General features: G+C 42.0%; 1 protein-coding gene across 1 annotated transcript in view, besides 1 other annotated feature; it reads left to right on the top strand.

Annotated features, from left to right (window-relative positions):
• TBX19 (T-box transcription factor 19) overlaps positions 1-7,216 on the top strand; it is a 33,550-nt gene extending 26,334 nt beyond the window's left edge. The window contains exons 7-8 of the mRNA NM_005149.3: positions 1,532-1,667; positions 5,498-7,216. Of these exons, the coding sequence (NP_005140.1) occupies positions 1,532-1,667; positions 5,498-5,792 (431 nt within the window). The 3' untranslated portion in view covers positions 5,793-7,216. The remainder of the gene's footprint in view (positions 1-1,531; positions 1,668-5,497) is intronic.
• Positions 13,781-14,075: an enhancer, noted in NCBI's record as "tiled region #6776; K562 Activating DNase unmatched - State 8:EnhW". NCBI's record gives its function as "activates a minimal TATA promoter and a strong SV40 promoter by Sharpr-MPRA in K562 cells {active_cell/tissue: K562}" and the evidence as "EXISTENCE:reporter gene assay evidence [ECO:0000049][PMID:27701403]".

The raw sequence follows: 21,006 nt of genomic DNA on the forward strand, positions 1-21,006 counted from the left end.
GTCTTAGTCCCCTTTGTGGCGCTATAACAAAATACTTGAGATTGGGTAATTTATAAGCAATAGACCTTTATTTTCTCATAGTCCTGGAGGCTGGGGAGTTTAAGATTAAGGTGCCAGCATATGGTAAGGGTTTTTTGGCTGTATCATAACATTGCGAAAGGCATCACATGGATGGTGGGGGAAAGAGGGGGAGAGGGCAGGAGGCTAAACCCATCCTTTTATCAGAAACCCATTCCTGCAATACTGACATTAGCCTATTCCTGAGGGTAGAGCCCCCATGGCCTAGTCACCTCTTAAAGGCCCCACCTCTCAACACTCTTGCATTGGGAATTAAGTTCCCAACACATGAACCTTGGGGGACACATTCAAACCATAGCACCAGAGATAGACGTTGGAATCTTCCTTCTCTCTCTCCCTTCTCCCCCTTTTCCCTTCCTTCCTCCCTCCCTCTGCCTTCTTCCTCTCTCTTATTTGTATACTATTTATGCAAATAGAGATTCAAAGAAATGGAAGACATTCTTCCCCCACCCCCATAAAAACTGTATATATTCAAGGTGTACAACATGACGTTTTGATATACATATGCATAGTGAAGTGATTACTGCTGTCAAGCAAATTAACATGTCCATCTCCTCACATAGTTACTTTTTTTCATGATGAGAGCACCTGAAATCTATTCTCTTAGCAAATTTCCAGTACACAGTACAATATTATTAACTATAGTCTTCAGATTGTAAGTTAGATCTCTAGACTTATTCATCCTACACAAGTGCAACTTTATATCCTTTGACCAATATCTCATTTCCCCAGCTTCCCACCCCTGGTAACCACTGTTGTACTCTCAGCTTCTATGTATTCAACTTTCTTAGAGTCCACATATAAGTGAGATCATATTATGTTCTTCTTTTTGTAAAAAGGTATGTTTTTTTCTTAATTTTTTTTTTTTTTAATTGTAGAGATGGTGTCTCTCTGTGTTGCCCAGAGAGGTCTCAAATTCCTGGGCTCAAGGGATTCCCCTGCCTTGGACTCCCAAAGTGCCAGGATTACAGGTGTGGGCACCATGCCGGGCCAAAAGGCACTGTGCTTGAGATATTTAAACCTACTCAGGGATGGCCGAGAAGAATAAGTTCCTGGACCTCAGAAATCTCATCTGGGGCACTGGTGGCCCTTAGGCTTAGCTTGAGGGGAGGCTGGTATGGTCCCTTCTTAAAAGAGAGTGACTGTGGTGAAATGAGTTAGACAGATCGGTGTTACCCAGGGCAAATCATTCTACCACCCTGAGGCGTATCTATAAGATGGAGTTAAGGAGTCACTGGTGTGAAGATTAAACTATGAATGACACCTGGCATATGGTTGACATTGAGGAAACCCACGTTTCTTTTTATTTTCTATTTCCCTGAGAAAGAACTAACAAACTGTTGGTGCCTGTAGTGCAAGCCATGGTTATATTTTGCCCTAGGATAATGTCACTGGTCACCATCTTTATGTCTTCTACATTTGCTATCAATTCAACTGTTGTTATTTCCCCAAGTGAATTTGATAGAAAGCTCAAGCAATAATCTGCAAGTTTTCTCGGGACCTGACAGCTGGACTTCCTTATCCTCCACACCCCATGCCAGCATCCTGTCTGTACCCCACACCAACGGACCAATCAATCCAGGGCCCAGGTAAGACCAACACCATCAACTCGCTCATTGGTCGTCTTGGGGGTTTACTTTAGCACTGGGGACTCAAGTTCATTCTTTTTCCTAGGGTGGCTTGGTCTAACCTATTGTCTTGACTTCTAAAACACTAAGAAGTCAAGGTGGCAACAGGGTGGAGTTCTTTCATAAGGGGAGAAACAGCTCAGTCATATACTGTTTCTTTTATTTAGAAGGATAGGCCGGGTGCAGTGGCTCACACCTGTAATCCCAGCACTTTGGGAGGCCAAGGCAGGTGGATCACCTGAGGTCAGCAGTTCCAGACCAGCCTGGCCAACATAGTGTAACCCCATGTCTACTAAAAATACAAAAATTAGCTGGGCATGGTGGCGCATGCCTGTAATCCTAGCTACTCAGGAGGCTGAGGCAGGAGAATCGCTTGAACCCAGGAGGCAGAGGTTGCAGTGAGCTGAGATTGCGCCATTGCACTCCAGCTTGGGCAACAAGAGTGAAACTCCGTCTCAAAAAATAAACAAATAAATAAATAAAAGGATAAAGACATTATGGCCTGGGATCATTTGTCTTAAACCAGTCAGAAATACTTTAAACTATGGTGGTAGCAAATAGATACTGACTGTAGAGGAATTGAAGAGGAAAAGTATAAATATACACTGAGAAGTCAAGACCCATGATTGTCCATTTTCCCATGAGTCACCCATCCTAAAAGGGGGACATATTGTGGATGCCTGGCCTCACGACCCTGGTAACAGAGTTAAGTGTAGCATGGGGGACCCCATGGTTTAATCCTCACACTAGCAACCTGCATTAAGTTCTGACTTCTAGAAATCTGAGTGGTGAAGTGGGAAGAGAAGGCCCCTTTGAGTCTGACAGGCAGGGGTTTGAGTCCCAGTTCTACCTCTTAGTAGTGATTTTGTGGCTTTGGGCAATTTTCTTAGCCTTACTGAGCTTCAGCTTTCTTATCGGTATCATGGAAATAATATGACCTACTTTGCAGAGTTACTGTGAGCATCAAATGCAGAAATGAGAAAATGCATTAACGTGCTTTGTAAGCAGTAACATTCTGTGTAAATGTCAGCTATTATGTTCAATATGGTTATGCAGAATTTTGAGAAGGTCCAAAGTGGATTCAAAATTAAAAGATGAGGCTTGGCGGGGTGCGGTGGCTAACACTTGTAATCTCAGCACTTTGGGAGGCCGAGGCAGGTAGATCCCCTCAAGTCAGGAGTTTGAAACCAGCCTGGCCAACATGGTGAAACCCCATCTCTACTAAAAATACAAAAATTAGCCAGGCGTGGTGGTGCATGCCTGTAATCCCAGCTACTTGGGAAGCTGAGGCAGGAGTATCACTTGAACTCAGGAGGCGGAGGTTGCAGTGAGCTGAGGCACTGCACTCCAGCCTGGGCAACAAGAGCGAAACTCTGCCTCCAAAAAAAAAAAAAGGATGGGATTTGGGAAGACATCAGATGACTTGTGATTTGTAAGTCCAGAAAAAGTTAGGAAAGGTTAGGAGAATGTAGTGGCTTAGAATCACCTGGGGTTGTTGTTAAAATGCAGAATCTGATTGGTAGGTTTGGGTGGGGGCCTGAGATTCTGCATTTCTACCAAGTTCCTGGGTGTTGCTGATATTGCTGTGGCCCACAAGGGTGTAGAGCTGTGCTGTCCAGTGCAGCAGCCACCAGCCACCTGTAGTTGTCAAACACTTGAAATGCAGCTAGTCCAAGTTGAGTGTAATACTCACATAGGATTTTGAAGATTTAGTGTGAAACAAAGAATAAAAATCCCAGTTTTTTATATATATATATAAAAAAATATAAAATATATATACCACTATATTACATATATTTTTATATTTTTAAATATAATATAGACTTATATATAAAATAGATAATATATATTTTAATATATATAATTTGTATAAAAATATATATTTTAATATCTATAAAATATATATTAAAAATATATAAATATATAAAAATATAACAGTATATGTAAATATAGATGTTATTATGTAAATATTATGATGTAAATATATACATATAAATATATATATTTACATCAAATGCATGTTGAAATAATATTTTGAATATTTTTGTTAAATAAAATATTAATAAATTAATTTTTTTCTAAATGTGGCTACTAGAAAATTTAAACTTACACATGTAGTTGGCATTTATGGTTTGCATTTTGACGCTGATCTAGAGGATCATTTGCATTTGACACTGATCTAGAGGATCTGAGGGAAAAACATTGATTTGGGCTGTGGTAGGAAGTGAGAAAGAGAGTGAAGATGAGGTTCCCTGAAGATATTAAACAATCATGTGCCAAGTTGTATACTAGATACTTACATATATATAAGTCATCCATATATAAGTCATCTGTAGTACTCAAAGACAACTATAAGGCAGGTATTAAAATTCCTATTTTGCTGATGAAGAAACTGAAGCTCAGAGGCCTTAAAAACTTCCTGAAGGTTCTGCAGTAAGCAGTACCTCTCAGAGCCCATGGTTCTCCCACTGGCCCAGGAGGCATCAGAAAGGGTCTGTAAGAGATAATGTAGAAGAGCATCTTCTGAAGATTGGGGCCAGAATCCCCATAAGCTGAGCTAGCTCAGAGAGAGCTCAGAGGATGGGCTGCTGAAGGTTTCATATGGTCCAAAGAGGCCTGTAGCATTGAAAAATGGCACCAGGTGAAGGATGGCATTGCCAACTCTGGCTTCCCTGTTGGTGTGTTTAACTCATTCCTGACTCCATAAATATTTTGTTAGAAACAAAACAAAACAAATGTATTCAATATTGCCATTGGATAATAAGCATATTATCAAGCAATACAGTGTTGGGCAATGCAGAAACTCTAAAATGTAAGAAACATAGTGATGACTACAGGCCGAAAACATTGGGTTCATTGCACCTGTTCCAACTGCATCTATATTAAGGTGCAAGCTTGGCTGTACATTACAGTCACCTGGGAAACTTAAAAAAATCCTCGTACTCAGGCTGCATGCCAGATCAGTTCAATCAGAATCTCTGGGGCAGGGGAGTGGGGTGAGAGTGGGATCCAGGCACCAATATTACTTTAAAAACCCCCCCTAGTGATTCCAATGTGCCGAATGTGCAATCAAGTGTGTGAACCTGTGCTACAGAACTAGAGAAGGCAAAGAAAATGTTGTAGCTCCCAGCCTTTCAGCCAGGCACCAGAGCTCACAGGCGGAGACCAGGAATGGAAGAATTAATGTTAACAACCACCATTTACTGAGTACTACATGCTAAGGACCATATACTCCTCTTATTTAATCCTTGTAGCAATCTCTGTAAGGTAGGTAAAATTATGAATCCACATCTTGAAGATGAGAAATTGACACTCAGAGATATTAAATAATCTAGCCAAGGCCACAGAGCTAATTAAGTGGTAGAGCTGGGATTTAAACTTAAGTCTTCTGACAGTGATGTTTCCTGGTTATTATGCCACATTGGCCAGGGAGAGATCATATGCAGAAATCATACAGTTTTAATACCTTTTTTTCTACTGCCCTGCCAATTTTACATAGGCTGCAAGGGAGCCCAGATAAATGAAATTCTGTGTCTAAAACCAAATAATTCGCTGGTGGCCGGGCCAGTACCAGAATACTTAATCTTATCATTATTCCACCATACTTTGCTGCTTCTCTTAGCTTTTCTGCAGAAACAGGACCAATCTGCGTCATAGCTAGAAATAAAGCCATGGCCAGAAGCCCTCCTGTAACCATGCCCTTCTCAGCACTGTGTACATGCTTGTCAGGTGGCACTCCTTCCTTGGAGTGCCAGTGAACATTCCCTTCCCCTCTTTCTCTGTCTCTGCAGCCCCTACCCGTGCCTGTGGACCATCAGCAATGGTGCCGGAGGCCCCAGTGGGCCAGGCCCGGAGGTGCACGCCAGCACCCCAGGAGCATTTCTCCTCGGAAACCCAGCTGTGACTTCACCCCCTTCTGTGCTCTCCACCCAAGCACCCACTTCGGCTGGTGTGGAGGTTCTGGGGGAGCCCTCGCTAACCAGCATTGCTGTGTCCACCTGGACAGCAGTGGCCTCGCATCCCTTCGCGGGCTGGGGTGGCCCAGGAGCGGGTGGGCACCATTCTCCTTCCTCACTGGATGGTTAAGCAGGATCCTAGGAGCCTCTTTGCACAGCGATCCTTCCATGTGTAGAGTGCTTAGAAACCCCATCAACTGATCTAGTGAGTCAGACTGTGGAATCTCCCTTCCCACTAGCTGGAGGTGGAGGTGGGTTATTACAGAAGTCATACTGGGAGAGGGTTCAGTTTGGATGATGCTAGTTAGATCATTTGCATCTCTCCACCATTTTCTTCTGCACTCCCATTTTCTCTGCAGCTTATTCTTGCCATGCTTAGGTGACAGAAGTTTGTTAAGTACCATCCTTGTGCCCTGCCTCTTATTCTCAAATCGTTCTGGAAAGCCTCACTTCCTTTTCTGTGGAGAAGGTGCAAAGCTGTTAAATGAGCTCAGAGTTTACCTAGCTAAGGCCACTGCTTCCTGCTTTGTGAAGCCTGGAAAGTATGTGTGGCCACAGGGCTCAGGTTCACACTTCTGCTTTGAGACCAGGATGGGGTGTAAGCCATAGAGTAAGGTTAACAAAAAGAATAAAGCTAATCATGTATTACAAACAGCAGTGTGCCCAGACTTGTGGAAATGAAGTCATGTCACTCCTCTGCTCAGAAACCTTCAATGGTTCACCATTACCAGTGGAATGAAGTCAATTCTCCTCACTATAACTGGGTGTGGTAGTTTAAGCCTATAATCTCAGCCCTTTTGGAGGCCAAGGTAAGAGGATCGCTTGAGGTCAGGAGTTCGAGACCAGCTTGTGCAACAAAGTGAGAGCCTGTCTCTACAAAAAATAGTCATGCACACAAAATTAGCTGGGCATGGTGGCCTGTGCCTATAGTCCCAACTACTTAGAGGAGGATCGCTTGATCTCAGGAGGTTGAGGCTGCAGTGAATTATGATTGTGGCATTGCACTCCAGCCTGGGTGGTAGATCAAGGCTTTGTTTCATTTGAAAAAAAAGAAAGAAAGAAAGAAAGAAAGAAATCCTACTACGAGCGATCACACCATCTGGCCTGAAACCACTTCCCCAGCTTAGGTCCCTCTGTTATCCTGTTGGCCTCCTATGTATTGGTCAAGGCAGGCATCTCTGTTCTCTGAACATTCATTGCACTTTCCCACCTCTATACCTTGCCTGTGCCTTAGTGTCCTCTTTTTTCCAGTTCACCTGTGCGAATCCGACCCACCTCCCAGAGCCTGGCTGAAACGTCACTCCCTGCATCCAACATCTGATCTGCTGAGATATGTCTGATCTATCTCTGCTCGCTGTTCTCCCGTTGTTTTTGCCTCTGCCATAGAGCTCACCTCATTTTGCCTTGTATTTTTGTTACCTGTGAGTGTGTCTCTCCCTATTAGACTGTAAGCCTCTCGAGGGTGAGGCCTAGCCTTCTTGTCTTTGTAACCCACAGCAGCTGGTACTGTGCCTTGCCTATTGTAGGTGCCCAATAAACATTTGCTGAACTGAATTGGTGTAATGTGCATGTGTGCTACAAGGACGGTGTGAAGTGGCTGGGGGGCAGATCTCAGAGACACATGCCCCATGACACATAGGTGCATCCGTGTGGGAGCCTAGGAACATGCTGGCTGTTAGTTACACGGGCTTCTCATCTGAGGCACCACCAATTGTCAGTGAATGACAATCATATATGGAGACAGGGTGTGTTAGAGTGGTTATTCCCAAATACTGGTTCTTGGATCCCCTAAGTCAGGATCACCTGGAACAGGGGACCCTTGCTAGACATACAGATTCGTGGGTATACCCCGTACCTGTTGGATCAGAATCTTTGGGGCTGGCGTTCAGGAATCTGCATTTCAAACAAGAGCTCCAGGCATTGGCCCTGGGCTAGGTTTGGAAACTCCTTGCCTAGAAGAGAGAAACAGGATGATAAATACTCCAGGAACCTTATTTCAGATGAGTTTTTACCTCTGCCCCAGCCAAGGTCATTGCTATAACCCGTGAGCAGAATCAGTTTCGTGAGTCTTCCTCCTCTTTTTCTACCTACTACTGGATGTGCTAATAACCTTGGGAGTGAGGTTTCCAGACCTGGGTGATGAGCAGTTCTCCAAACATTGACTTTAGACTGCACTGGCTGAGCAGCCCTTCTCAGGGCCGCCACTTGAGGAGTCTAAAGTTCCACTTGGAGCCTAGCATTGGCTCAGCTGCTTCCACCACTATTCCATCAGCTGAACCCGTGCAAACCCAGCCCACTCCAAGGCTTAGTCTGAGGGGTCCAAACATGGTACTATTGAGTCCTTGGCTCTTTCTATAGCGAAAGGTCCTTTAACATGCTATGGTGTCACAACTGGTGTCACTGCCCAATATTTCTGTGCTGTTCTGTTTTTTGGATCTCAGGAAACAATACTACTCCAGCTACGTGGTGTCCAGGGAAGACTCATTGCCTGACTTCAGGTTGCCTGGCCAGCGCTCTGGGCCACTAGTTGGCGTGTGAGTGGCCAAGGCACAATGGATCCATGCATTTGGAAAGCTGTCTGGTCAGCATGCCCCTAAGGCAGCATTGTTCCTGTTTCCCAGTCCCTTTACAATACCATTAGAGGTCACTAAGGTATTAATATATTAGTATCTCTGCAAGACAGTACTTTGGTAAGTTATAACAGATGGTCATTTCTCAATCTGCTAGAACTTTAGGCTACTGTGGCCTGTAATTGCCACAGCAGGTCTGACCAAGGCCTCTTTACTGGTCACTGCAGCAAGTCTTGGCACCAAGTCCTTCACATGTCCTGTACCAAGAGCTCAGCAAGTGTAATTAGGGAATAAAAACCCACCTTGAGTCTCACCCTTCCTGCACTTCCCCTAGCCTGGAGCAGACAGAAGACCTGGCCCAGGGACACAGAACAGAAAGAAGCTCGTAGCCTCCATTATATTTTCATTTATATTGCTCAGGTGAATGGGGTCCTCTGCAGCATGATAACATGAGCATTAGCTGAGTTTGGGGTGATCACGTCTCTCCGTCTTGTAGGATACTCAGCTTGGAACCTGCTGTGATTCTTAAACACACACACCATGATAGCTGGTTCCACAAATAGGATCTCTATTTGCTGTTAGCTATCTAGCCAGAGACACTTTCTATTTTTTTCTTTAAATAGTCTAGGGCTAATTTCTGATCAGAAGAAACAACACTAGTTACATAAGTCAGTTTAGTAAGTGACAGATTAGCTTCTGTAATGTGTTAGACAAACTTTGGAGTTTTGTATACCATTTCCTTGCTCATGTATCTTCTCTACTCAACTCACTATAAAACAAAAATGGTGCCTTTCAGGTTTTCTGGACTATTTCATGAAATTTAAGAGAAACTGAAATCCCACCTGAATAGAAGAGTTATGCAATACTTTTAGCCAGATGGTAGAGATTCTAACTCTCCCTGAAGCCTGGCCTATTGGAAAGTGTCCCCTACTGTGGGGCCTTTATTTGAGTCTGTGTGACCTCACCAGCCCTCCCTTCCCTGGATGAGCCAGCCTCATTACCAACCACCTCTGTCCACCATGCTTAGCTAGATGCTTATGGGAAACTGCTGATTCCCTTCGTGTCACTTGGTGGACACCCCCCAGAACTGGATGGTGGTCAAATTAGGGGAGGAATGTTTTCATCACCTAAGTTATTAAGAAAAAAACTCAATAAAGGATATTCGAAGCTTGGTAGGTCTTCACCACTTTCTTCAAGACTAGAATAGATTTGAGTGAATATCAGCAAGTTAAAATGTCACATTTGTGAAGAATATGAATTCTGTTTTACGGAAATTGTGGGTCAGCCAAAGTAGGGGATGGCAACTGGGGCATTCAAGTGGCCCTTCTTTCAACTCCTTCCTTTTTATTTTCTCCACCCATTCCCACTTTATTGAGCCACTTGTTGGCTACTGGCCAGGTTGGTGAACAGAGAGAGTACGGGCATCCTTGAGCCACTTGTTGGCTACTGGCCAGGTTGGTGAACAGAGAGAGTACGGGCATCCTGGAACAGAGGTTAAGGTAGGGATATGTGGTGCCACAAAAGATATAAAGGAACAGCCTCTGTGGTCTGAAGACACCAAAACTTTTCCATCATCATCATTATAGACACATCTATGGGGTAGTCTGTCCAACCCCCCAACCTTCTAGGAATAGAACCCCCCCAAACTCTTGGTGAAACTACCTTTTTGGAATAAGTAATGAGAGAAATCTAACGTGACTGACTCCATCTTGCTTCTAACCTCACAGGCTAAATTTCTTTTTTTTTTTGTAGACTGAAGCTGCGTTCATAAGACAAGGCTAAAATTGTGGTAGGGCCTTGGACTTTGCTGTAGAATAGGCATAGTTAAACCATGACCTGCCATCGCTTAGTTTGTTTTTCTATAAGTTGTTTACTGCCCCAGAATCACAAAACTGGGGGTCACATGATTTATAACTCCCCCATCTACTCCTATAGCTAACATCACTATTGTGAAACCTAAAGAACTGGTCTTTGAGATATCTTTCAGATTTAGCATTGTGACAAAACAAGAGATGCCACCTGGTCCTGAGGCCCTCTTCCAGGAACTGACTCAGCCACACGAAGACAGTTTTAGGTGTCCCTGTGATTTCATCTCCAGCCAATCGTTTCAGTTCTCCAGCCCCCTTCCTGCCAAAGTACCTAGGCTACTGAAATAAAACTGGCGTCTGGGAAACCCGGAGGCCAGAGCAACTGGTCAGGCCCAGGTGAGGACTTAGAATTCAACTAGTTGGGAGTGAGAAGTTGGTCAATCTCTCATTCTCAACATGGAAACATCGGAAATTCACATTTTCTGGTCATGACCACTCTTATTTGGAGCACTTTGTAGGAGTAACTGTGTGTGTTTATGTGTGTGTGTGTGTGTGTGTGTATGCACAAGTATGTCTATTTAGTGATGAGTTCCCTGTCCCTAGAGAATAAGTCAATAAACCTTTGGGGTAGATTCACTTTGTTCTGAAAGAACACTTTTTAGGGGGTGGAGTTTGGGGAGGAGTGTTAACAAGGAGTTTTGGGTTAACCAGGGCTGGTTCTGGAGGATGGAGCTGTGGTATCCCTCCTACATACTTATTAGATGGGGAGGGCTTGGAGCTTGGAGGTTGCTGAGGAGGAATCAGACATATTTTAGGTGGGAACGTAGTAATCTCTTAGAAGGAAAGACCTTTTCTATTTGTGGTTAAAATGTAGTGAAATATATTGGATGGCTTGGGTTAGCCCAGACCAAGGTTGGGCAGCAGGAAAAGTATATTTCCTCTAAGACAAAATTATATTACCACAATGGGAGGAGTAGTTTGAATGGATGACTGGTTTCCACACAAGAGCAACTGGAGGTAAGAGATGCTCCTGGACCCAATGTGGACTTATGCAGCCACCTGGACACTGCCATGCCTTGAGAAAAATGGCTGGTGTGTGGGTTAAAAGAGTGGATCCTCAAGCGTTAACACTTGGGGCCTGGGCTAAAGTTGCTAAGTGGGATATGTTGGGGGAAAATGTCCAGGGTTGTAATGACAGGAAGTCATGAGAGATTGAGGATACTCCATGGATTTCTGTTAACTTGAGCAGGTGGGTGTTGATGGTTACTAGAGTTAGAAATTTAAATTAGAGAAATGGCTAATTGTGTTATTACAGGGTGGATGACTGTCTTGGTTATACTTGAGGACAAAAACTGTCTTCCATTGCTGTACCTCCAACACCTTGCACATGTGCCTGGTAGGTACATGGTAGGCACCCCACAGGTATTAATCCAGAATTTTTAGAAATAATCCTTAGCAGTACTTGGAAATTTTAGGTGGGGAAACATGTTTGGTTTGATAAAAAGTTCTTTGTATATTTTTGTCAAAGTTGTGTCTTTATAAGATCGTATTTCTTTAGAAAAGTTTTTTTTTGTTGTTATTTGTTTGTTTGAGACAGAGTCTTGCTCTGTTGCCTAGGCTGGAGTGCAGCGGCACGATCTTGGCTCGCTGCAACCTCTGCCTGCTGGGTTCAAGCAATTCTCCTGCCTCAGCCTCCCGAGTAGGTGGGATTACAGGCGCTCACCGTCATGCTTGGCTAATTTTTTTGTATTTTTGTAGAGATAGGGTTTCACCATGTTGGTCAGGCTGGTCTCAAACTCCTGACCTCTGGTGATCCACGCGCCTCGGCCTCCCAAATTGCTGCGATTACAGGCATGAACCGCCGGGCCCAGACAGATTATTATTTTTAATAGCTTTATTGATATATAATTTACACAGCCTATTTAAAGGGGAAATTCATTGGACTTTTCTAGTATATTTACAGAGTTGTGTGCCCATAACCATAATCTAATTTTAGAACATTTTTGTCACCCTACAAAGAAAGCTTATACCCATTAATAGTCACTGCCCACTTCCTTCCTACTCACCTCCACCCCCTCCCCTAGGCAGCCACTTATCTCCTTTCTTTCTCTATAGATTTCCCATTCTGGACACTTCATTTGGCTGGAGTCATGTGATGTATGGTCTTTTGTGACTAGCTTCTTTCACTTAGAGGATCCTTGATGCTGTGGCGTATATCAGTACTGCATTCCTTTTTCTGCCAAGTAATATTCCATTGATAAATACAGCCACATCTTTTTTATCCATTCATCAGCTGATGGGCATTTGGGATGTTTCCACTTTTTGAACATTCATGTATGAGTTTTCGTATGGGATAGATACTATCTATCATTTTCCTCGTCTTACAGATGGAGGGAGCCAGCTCAGACAGCGTAGATGGGGTTTTCAGTGTAACACAACTAGTAGGGGCAGAATTCAGACCTACCTGACGATGAAGTTTTTGTTCCCATTCACAACCCAATGTCACCCTGTACTGAGGATTGTCCCAAGCAGGAGCAGTTACGTTACTCAGCTGGCACTTCCCCTTGGTTTCCTGTTACATTTACATCAGATTCCCAGGGCTGCGGTGGCGATTAGGGAAAAGAGTCTGTGTTCACACTTGGGAGGAGGCTGGGCGTAGGGCGTGGGAAAGCGGGAGACAGGGAGATCGTGGAATGAGCAGGGCTTCATGGGCCAGGGACCATCTGGGGCCTAGTGGCAGATTGCTGGTCTTCCAAGGACTGGATAGCATCTCTAGGGCATTTCCAGAAACCTTTTGGGGCAGATTCTGGTGAAAGTCTGAATTTCCTGGAGAAGGAGAATGTGGGTAAGAGCACATTATAATTTGATTAAGAGCAATGTGATCTCAAAATCTAATGAAGCCTGGCAAATATTGATTGGTATTGAGGTGATTGATTTTAGGATAGACATTTAAAAAAGTGCACTTATTGACAACAAAACAAAAATGTGTTGTAGCCAAAGCATTCAGAAATCCAAGACTTAACTTTGCAGTTTTAAAGTTCACAAATGTGATGAAAGGGAGAAGGACTTTGTAATCTTTATAATGATTGATTAGACTTTGAATTGGGAGCCCGTATGTGTAAGTTATGCTACTGTTTGGTCAGCCTGCTGCCAAGTCAGTTACCAGCAAGATGATGCCATAAATTTCTTGCTCTGCAGAGAGGATAAGATATAGGGACCATTGATACTTTCTTGTCAGTGCCTCAGACTGAGGGGCTTCCTGGGATATAGGCATTTCAATTTAAAATTTCAATTTAAATGGAATAAACTTTCCATTAATTTCCATTTATTTCCAATAAAATTTCCATTTCAATTTAAAATGGAGACAGCCTGGATTTTCCCAGGATGAGTTGGTCAACCTGTAACATTGGACGCGTACTTGTGGAGTCCAGAATCCTGCTGTGTTGACCACATGGGGAATGAATATTTTTCTGAAAAGAGATAGGGCAGAGATGAGCAGAGAGAGTAGAAAAGCTAACAGCTGGCCTTAAATTCCTACGGTTGCACTTTTCTTAGCATCTTGTAGGTGGGTCTATTGTTTAGCACAATTATTTACAGAAGGCAAACTGTTATGTAGAGCAGCTAGAAGCATTGGTTGCAGTAAAAGCAGCTGTTTTATTTCATCGTAGACAATCCTGTTTATCTCTCCCAGCCCAATCAAATGTACCCCGCCAAATACTTGGCTATGATCTGAGACCTAGGAAAATAGCATGTGATCTCTGTCTCTCACTTTTTTTTTTGGCATGTGATTTTAAGATTTTCATCTTTAAAGTTATTGTAAAACTCAAGGCCCAGAGCATGGCCCAGAACTAGTGGGAGTTCACAAAACAGATCAAGAATCAGAGTTGGTGAGTCATGCAGGCTCACAGCACTCTGAAACACAGGGATAGGGCTTACTCATCAGTTCAGACATTAGGCGTTCCAAAGGAGGTCCTGGGGGTGTGGTGATGACATTGCCCAGGATCAATTATTTAACTGTTGTTTAAGAGGTAGGAACCTCATCAATGGGTTTACATAGGGAGGAGATAGGAAGTAGAGAAAGCAAAGCGTTCTTCCAGTGCCCTGATCTCTTTCCATGTGGGCTAGTGCCTCATAAGTCCAGAGAGGTTACACTATACGTGGGATAAGGGTAGAATAAGGGCTTGGGGAGCACTTTTTTCTTTCTTTCTTTTTCTTTTTTTTTTTTGAGGCAGCCTGGGCTCTGTCACCCAGGCAGGAGTGCAGTGGTGTGATCTCAGCTCACTGCAACCTCTGCCTCCAGGGTTCAAGTGATTCTCCTGCCTCAGCCTCCCAAGTAGCTGGGATCACAGATGTGCTCTACCATGCCCGGCTAATTTTTTGTATTTTTAGTGGAGACTAAAAATACACCATGGGGTTTCACCATGTTGGCTAGGCTGGTCTCAAACTCCTGACTTCAGGTGATACACCTGCCTTGGCCTCCCACAGTGCTGGGATTACAAGTGTGAGCCAGGCAGCACTTTCTTGAATGTTCTCAGAGTTGTACATAAACCTGAGACATCAGCAACTTCATAAGTAAGGTCTTTGGTATACGCAGAATTTTATATACACTTAGGGTAATTTTTGGGAGGTGAAGAGAAAAAGTGAGGGGAAGGGATCCATAGCTTTTATTAGATTTCCAGTGGGATCCATCATCCCCCCAAAATTAAAATCTACTGCTCTATATGTTCTTCGAATGATATGCTCAGCTCATAACTCTAAGTTTCTATGTAAGTGCTAAGAGCTTATAAATATTCTCCAGCTAGACCTCTTCTCTTGATTCTGGATTCCATGTATACTACACTACCACCTACAGGACATTTCCACTCTGTGTCCTATGGGTGCCTCAATGTCAACACACCTAAAACTCAATAATGGCTTCTCTTTCTATATTACCCATTATAGATGATGGTAGATGAATGACATCACCATTTACCCAGGTACTTAAGTCTCTTTCTTTCATTTGCCACATTTGATTAGCCACTAAGCCTGGTCTCTGCTACCTCAGAAATACTTTTCAATTTAACCCTACCACTTCCTTCTCTCAGTCTCAACTGCTACATCCCTCCTGTAGCCAGAAATGAAAATCACAGTAATAAGCCTTGCACCCCAACTGAGAAAATACTTTAAGTCACAATAGCCTAAAGTTCTAGCAGATTGAGAAATGACCACCTCTTATAACTTACCAAAGTACTGTCTTGCAGAGATACTAATATATAATACCTTAAAATACCTTAGACAGCTGTTCACTTATGTCTAACAAAATAAGTTAGAATTTATTTTGAAATATAGGTGAATCTTTTGTGTATCCAAAGACCAACTTTAGGCTCCTTTGTGAGTTTTGGAGCCAAAGAGAGGAAGCCTGGAATGGAGGCTCCGTTGGCAAAAGGAAATAAGGTTCTAGAAATGCCACTGTGTAAGGGCCTGGGTGAGTAGAGATTTATTTATTTTTTAATTTTATTTTCTAAATGATGAATAATAATTGTACATATGTATGGGGTACACAGTGATGTTTTGATACGTACAAGGTAAAATGATCAAATCAGAATAATCAGTATATTCATCATCTCAGACATTTATCATTCCTTTGCGTTGGGAATGTTCAGTATCCTCTTTTTAGCTATTTGAAACTATATAATACTGTTAACTATAGTCAACAGTGCTCTAGTACTCTAGAACTCCTATCTAATATAACAGTGCCGCAATGAACATCCTTGTACATTTCTCTGGTGAACATACATGAGAGTTTCTGCAGGGTAGATACCTCCAAGTAGAATCCCAGACTTAGAATACGTGTAGCTCAACTTTTGCAGGTATTGTTCAATTGTTCTCTAAACTGGTTGCATCAATTTACAATGTAAGCAGTAATAAATAAGTTTCCAATCTTGCTATCACCCTGTGTTACAAAGCTACATCATGTGTCCCACCACGCCCAACTAATCTTTTTTATTTTTCGTAGAGATGAGGATCTCATGATGTTGACCAGGCTGGTCTCAAACTCCTGGGCTTAAGTAATTCTTTCACCTCGGCCTCCCAAAGTGCTGGGATTACAGATGTGAGCCACCATGTCTGGCAATACACCATACTTTATTTCTCTTTTTGATAGGCGTTCTAAAAATGTATGTATTAGAAGTCCTGTGTTTGTAAGGCAGAAACCCTTAGCAACACCATAAGCAGCAAATACACTTGTAATGTCTCGGATATAAAAGAAACTTAATACAAGTCTCCCTAAATTTGACAATTTTAGAAATATACATGAAATTAGCAACAACTGCTTGTGACATGGAAAGAAACCGTTCTAAAATATTAATACCCCCAAATCCCACCACGTTAAATCTTGATTAGTCATTTTAGAGATAGACTAAATTACTTTTCTAGTTTCTCTATGGAAAATAATATTACAAAAATCACTGTATGAAAAGGCAATCAGAGTATATAGCTAACAAACATTGGTACTAAATGAATGTAATTGTTATGTCATTTCTGGCAACATAGAATCAAGGCACCTCCCAGCCTCTCCTACAGATGTGTGTGCTATTTCCATGCCTTTTCCTGCCTTATGGTGGCTGCTGGCAATTTTGGCATTCCATGGCTTGTAGATGCCGTACTCCAATCTCTGCCTCCATTATCACCTGGTGTTCTCCCTGTGTGTCTGTCTGTTTCCTCTTTTTATAAAGACACTAGTCACTGGATTAAGGCCCATCTTAATCCAGTGTGATCTCATTTTAACTAATTATACCTGCAAATATGTTATTTCCAGAAAGGTCAAATTCTGAGTTTCTGGGTGGATATGAATTTTGAGGGACACTATTCAACCCAGTACAGAGTATAAGCAAACTGTCCGTGTAAATAATTCAGTGTAATCCACTTAAAATGTACCAGGGTAGAAAAGCATCTTCCCAGTTCTGTGCCTCCATGGGGTGATATTTACATTCTTGTTTTTATGCAAAGACCCAAGAGCATACAAATTCTATCCTTCCTCCCTCCCTCACATTTATCCTCTGTAGACATTGAAAGTCCTGTGAAAAAGCTGAAGCCACAAATAATGTGCTCCAATACGGTGTGACTTCCAGGAAGTGCTCTTAAAGGGAGGGTTGAGAACTTCTTAGCCTGGATTCCCTTTGCTTGTTGGCGGAATGCAGATGTAATAATTAGAACTTGAGCAGTTATCTTGAACCATGAGGTAGAAGCCACAATTTGAGAATCAAATTATCTTGAACTATGAGGTAGAAGCCACAAGATAGAAGGACTATGAGTTCACCATACTCTTTGAGTTATCATATCAGCCCTAGACTTCTTACTTCTGGGATTTGTTTTCATAGGACAAAATAACCTTCTATCTTAAAGTAAATTATTTTGGGTTTTGTGTTATTTGCAGCAGTGAAACTATTCCTAAGTTTTACAACTGCTTGTTGTTTTTTAAAAAATTTAAATAATTGTAAATATACTCATTTTATATGCTGGTCTGATTATCATACTATTATTCAAAGTTCTTGGGATCTAATTCTGCAGTTTATTGTGTCTATTGACTCACACTCATGAATGATTTCTTATTGTATATTTGTACTTTTGATGGGTAGCTCATCTTCGTTGGAGGATTTCTCTCTCTGTCTCTGTCTCTCTCATTGCCTGTGATTTGAGTCATGAGTGTTTTTTCAGAATGGCTTATATTTGCTTTCATTCTGTACCTCTGACGTATCACCATTTGTTCTAGCTGCTATTGCTGCATAACTAACCCCCTCAAGTGTAGTGACACAAAACCACCATTTAATTAGCTCATGGAGTCTACTGGACAAAACTTCAAAAAGGGCACAGTAGGGACGGCTGGTCTCTACTCCGTGGTACCTGGGACCCTAGCTGAGAAGAACCAAAGCCTGGGGGCTGAGTCATATAAAGCCTCCTTCACTCACATGTCTGGTGGTTGACACTGAATGTTATCTGGGACCTCAGCTAGAACTGTTGGCTGGAATGCCTACAGCCTACATGTGTCCTCTTGAAGTGACTGGGCTCATGGCATGGGGCTGGGTTCTAACAGTGAGCATCCAGAAGAGAGCCAGAAAAATCTGTCTTACCTTTTATTACCTAGCCTTGGAAGGCATAGGGTATCACTTCTGTCATGGTTGCAGCTCACCCAGATTCAAGGGTGAGGGAAAGTGGACTCCATCTTTTGATAGCAGATATGTCAAAGGGATTTCGTAAGAAGAGCATGTGGCATGGGAAATGTTCTTATGGCCATTTTTGAAAAAAACAAAACAAAACAAAACAATCTACCAGATCAGATCAGGACCAATTTTAATGTTAATTTCTTACCTTGGGGTTTTCTTGTCTCCACATGTTGAACCAGTGCTAAATCCAGTCTCAAGTTCAAGATTTTAAACTATCCACCCCTAAATTTGAGATCTCAGTTTGAGATTTTAAACTATCAAGGAACAATTTTTCTTCCTCCTAGAGCCTAGACAAAAATGGAGAACCTTCCACATAATTCTTCTTGTATCAGTTGGTGGTCTTTCCCAAGGTCAATTGACAATGTAGACATCTGAAGGTCTTGATTTTTGTAACTGCCTCAGTTTTATATTTTTAGGCATCTTTCTCCTTCACTGGCTGAAGCTCCCCAAGGACAGGCCCTGTGTCTCCTTCATCTTTGTATTTCTGGCAACTTACACAAATGCCCATTACATTGTAGAGGCTCAGTGAGTGTTTCTGAACTGAACTAAACTCTCTTTCCTTTATTCTGATATCATGTTTCTGACCTTTACAGAGTATCCAATTATTCCTGCTGACCTCATTATTTTATCTTTTTTTTTTTTTTAAAGAGTTATTTGTTGTTTGAAGACTTTCTGTGATTACTGGAGGTACAGGACCATAGATGTCCAATAAATTAATCATGTTATGAGTTTAGCATTTAGTTGATTCCTTTTATTTGCAATGCAACATGCATAAATATTTCAGTGTAATGCACTTAAAAGGTACCAGGGTAGAAAAGCATCTCCCCAGTACTGGGTCCCCATGGAGTGATGCTTACATTCTTGTTTTTATCCAAATACAAAAGCAAGTACAACTTTCATCTTCCCTCCCACCAATTTATGCTCTATAGACATTGCAAGTCCTGTGAAAAGGCTGTGCTATGCTTAGTCTCAATCCTGACTGAGTGCTATCAGTTATCACTTTAGCAAAGCTGGTGTGACTTGTGGATACAAAAAATGAAGAGTGGAAGATGAATGAAGTTAGGAGAAGTAAGCAACACAGAAATGCATTTTAAATAAAATTTTATGATCGCTAAAGATAAACTTACCATTATTCATGGGAGAATCTTCTTAATAACAATTCCCAGCATAATCTTTCTGTGTCTCTCTCCAATCCCTCATCAGATGTTTCCCATTGGTTCTGATATGATTGACTCTGAAGTTTCCATATTAATGGGGAGAGTGAGAGAATTTAAAAAATTGACAATTACAAATAATTCCCAAAACCCACTTTAATCATTAGTTTAATCTGTTGTCTCCCACCTCCAACTTTATTGAGGATTGCTTGTTTAAGCAGCAAACATTGGCTTGGAATTTCATCCCCTTCCTTTTCCTTTAATAATGTTAATGGTAATAAAAATAATAATTGATATTTATATTGTGCTTTAGAGCTTACAATACATTTTTCACATTATTTGGACAACTAAGCTGTGAGAGACCCATAAAAAACTGTCTCACAACACTGCTGTCATTCATGTTCTTATTCTCATATTTTTGGATTATGGCTATGGCTTCCCCTCTCTGTCTTTAGGCCATCTTACAATTGCTATGAGCATCATCTTCCTAAAGTTCCATGTGAGTTGCGTCACCACTCTGCTCAGAAACCTTCAATAACTCACTACTAGAAATATAAAAGCCAATTTTCTTAGCCTCCTGCGGAAAACCTTCTAAAATTGACCTCAACATGCCATTCCAGTTTAATTGCCCAGTATTCTTTTACATAAAACTTATGTTCTAGCCAATCTACTATTACCCTTTCCACATCTTAGTTTTGGCTCTTACTGTTTCTCCACGTGGAACTGCTTTCTTTAATGTTTTCCTATTAAACCGCATTTAACTTTTAAGGTCCAATACACAATCCGTCTAACTTATGAAGCTCTCATGGCTGACAAAACAGATCTTTCTCTCTTTAAGTTTCTTTACCACATTGTTCATATGATACTTATTTTTGATTAAAAAGAAATGGTTTATTTGGGCCGGGTGTGGTGGCTCACACCTGTAATCCCAGCACTTTGGGAGGCTGGGCGGATGGATCACAAGGTCGGGAGTTCAAGGCCAGCCTGAGCAATATGGTGAACCCCATCTCTACTAAAAATACAAAAATTAGCTGGGCATAGTGGTGCACACCTGTAGTCCCAGCTACTCAGGAGGCTGAGGCAGGAGAATCGCTTGAACCCGGGAGGTGGAGGTTGCAGTGAGCCAAGATCGCGCCATCGCACTCCAGCCTGGGTGACAGAGCGATACTCCATCTCAAAAAAACAAAATCAAAAACAAAAACACCCCCCAAAAAACCAAAAACCAAAAACAAACAATTATATAGGTATGTGTCTTTGTACAGGATCCTAGCTTCTGTGATAGATTAGAGCCCTGAATCTCAGTGAATTCACACAGTAAGACTTCAGTTTTTACTTATGTGACATTCTGACACGGCTTCTGGATTGAAGAAACCATTTCGTGGCTCTTCCATTTTTAACACAGGCTCTCAAGTTTCCCTTGGTGGTAGTGGTGGTGGATGTCTTCTCTCTTTTACCTCAGCCAGCAGGAGAAAGTACATAGACAAAGTGTATATGGATGATTCTTCTCAGCAAACACTGGAAACAATGCCTATTGCTTCCTTTCATATTCCATTAGAAATCCATCACAGGCCACGAGAGGGGGTGGGAAATGTCTAGGCCTGTGCCCACGAA

This window comes from Homo sapiens, chromosome 1, assembly GCF_000001405.40.
Source record: "Homo sapiens chromosome 1, GRCh38.p14 Primary Assembly".
In the NCBI taxonomy this organism is placed as follows: domain Eukaryota; kingdom Metazoa; phylum Chordata; class Mammalia; order Primates; family Hominidae; genus Homo; species Homo sapiens.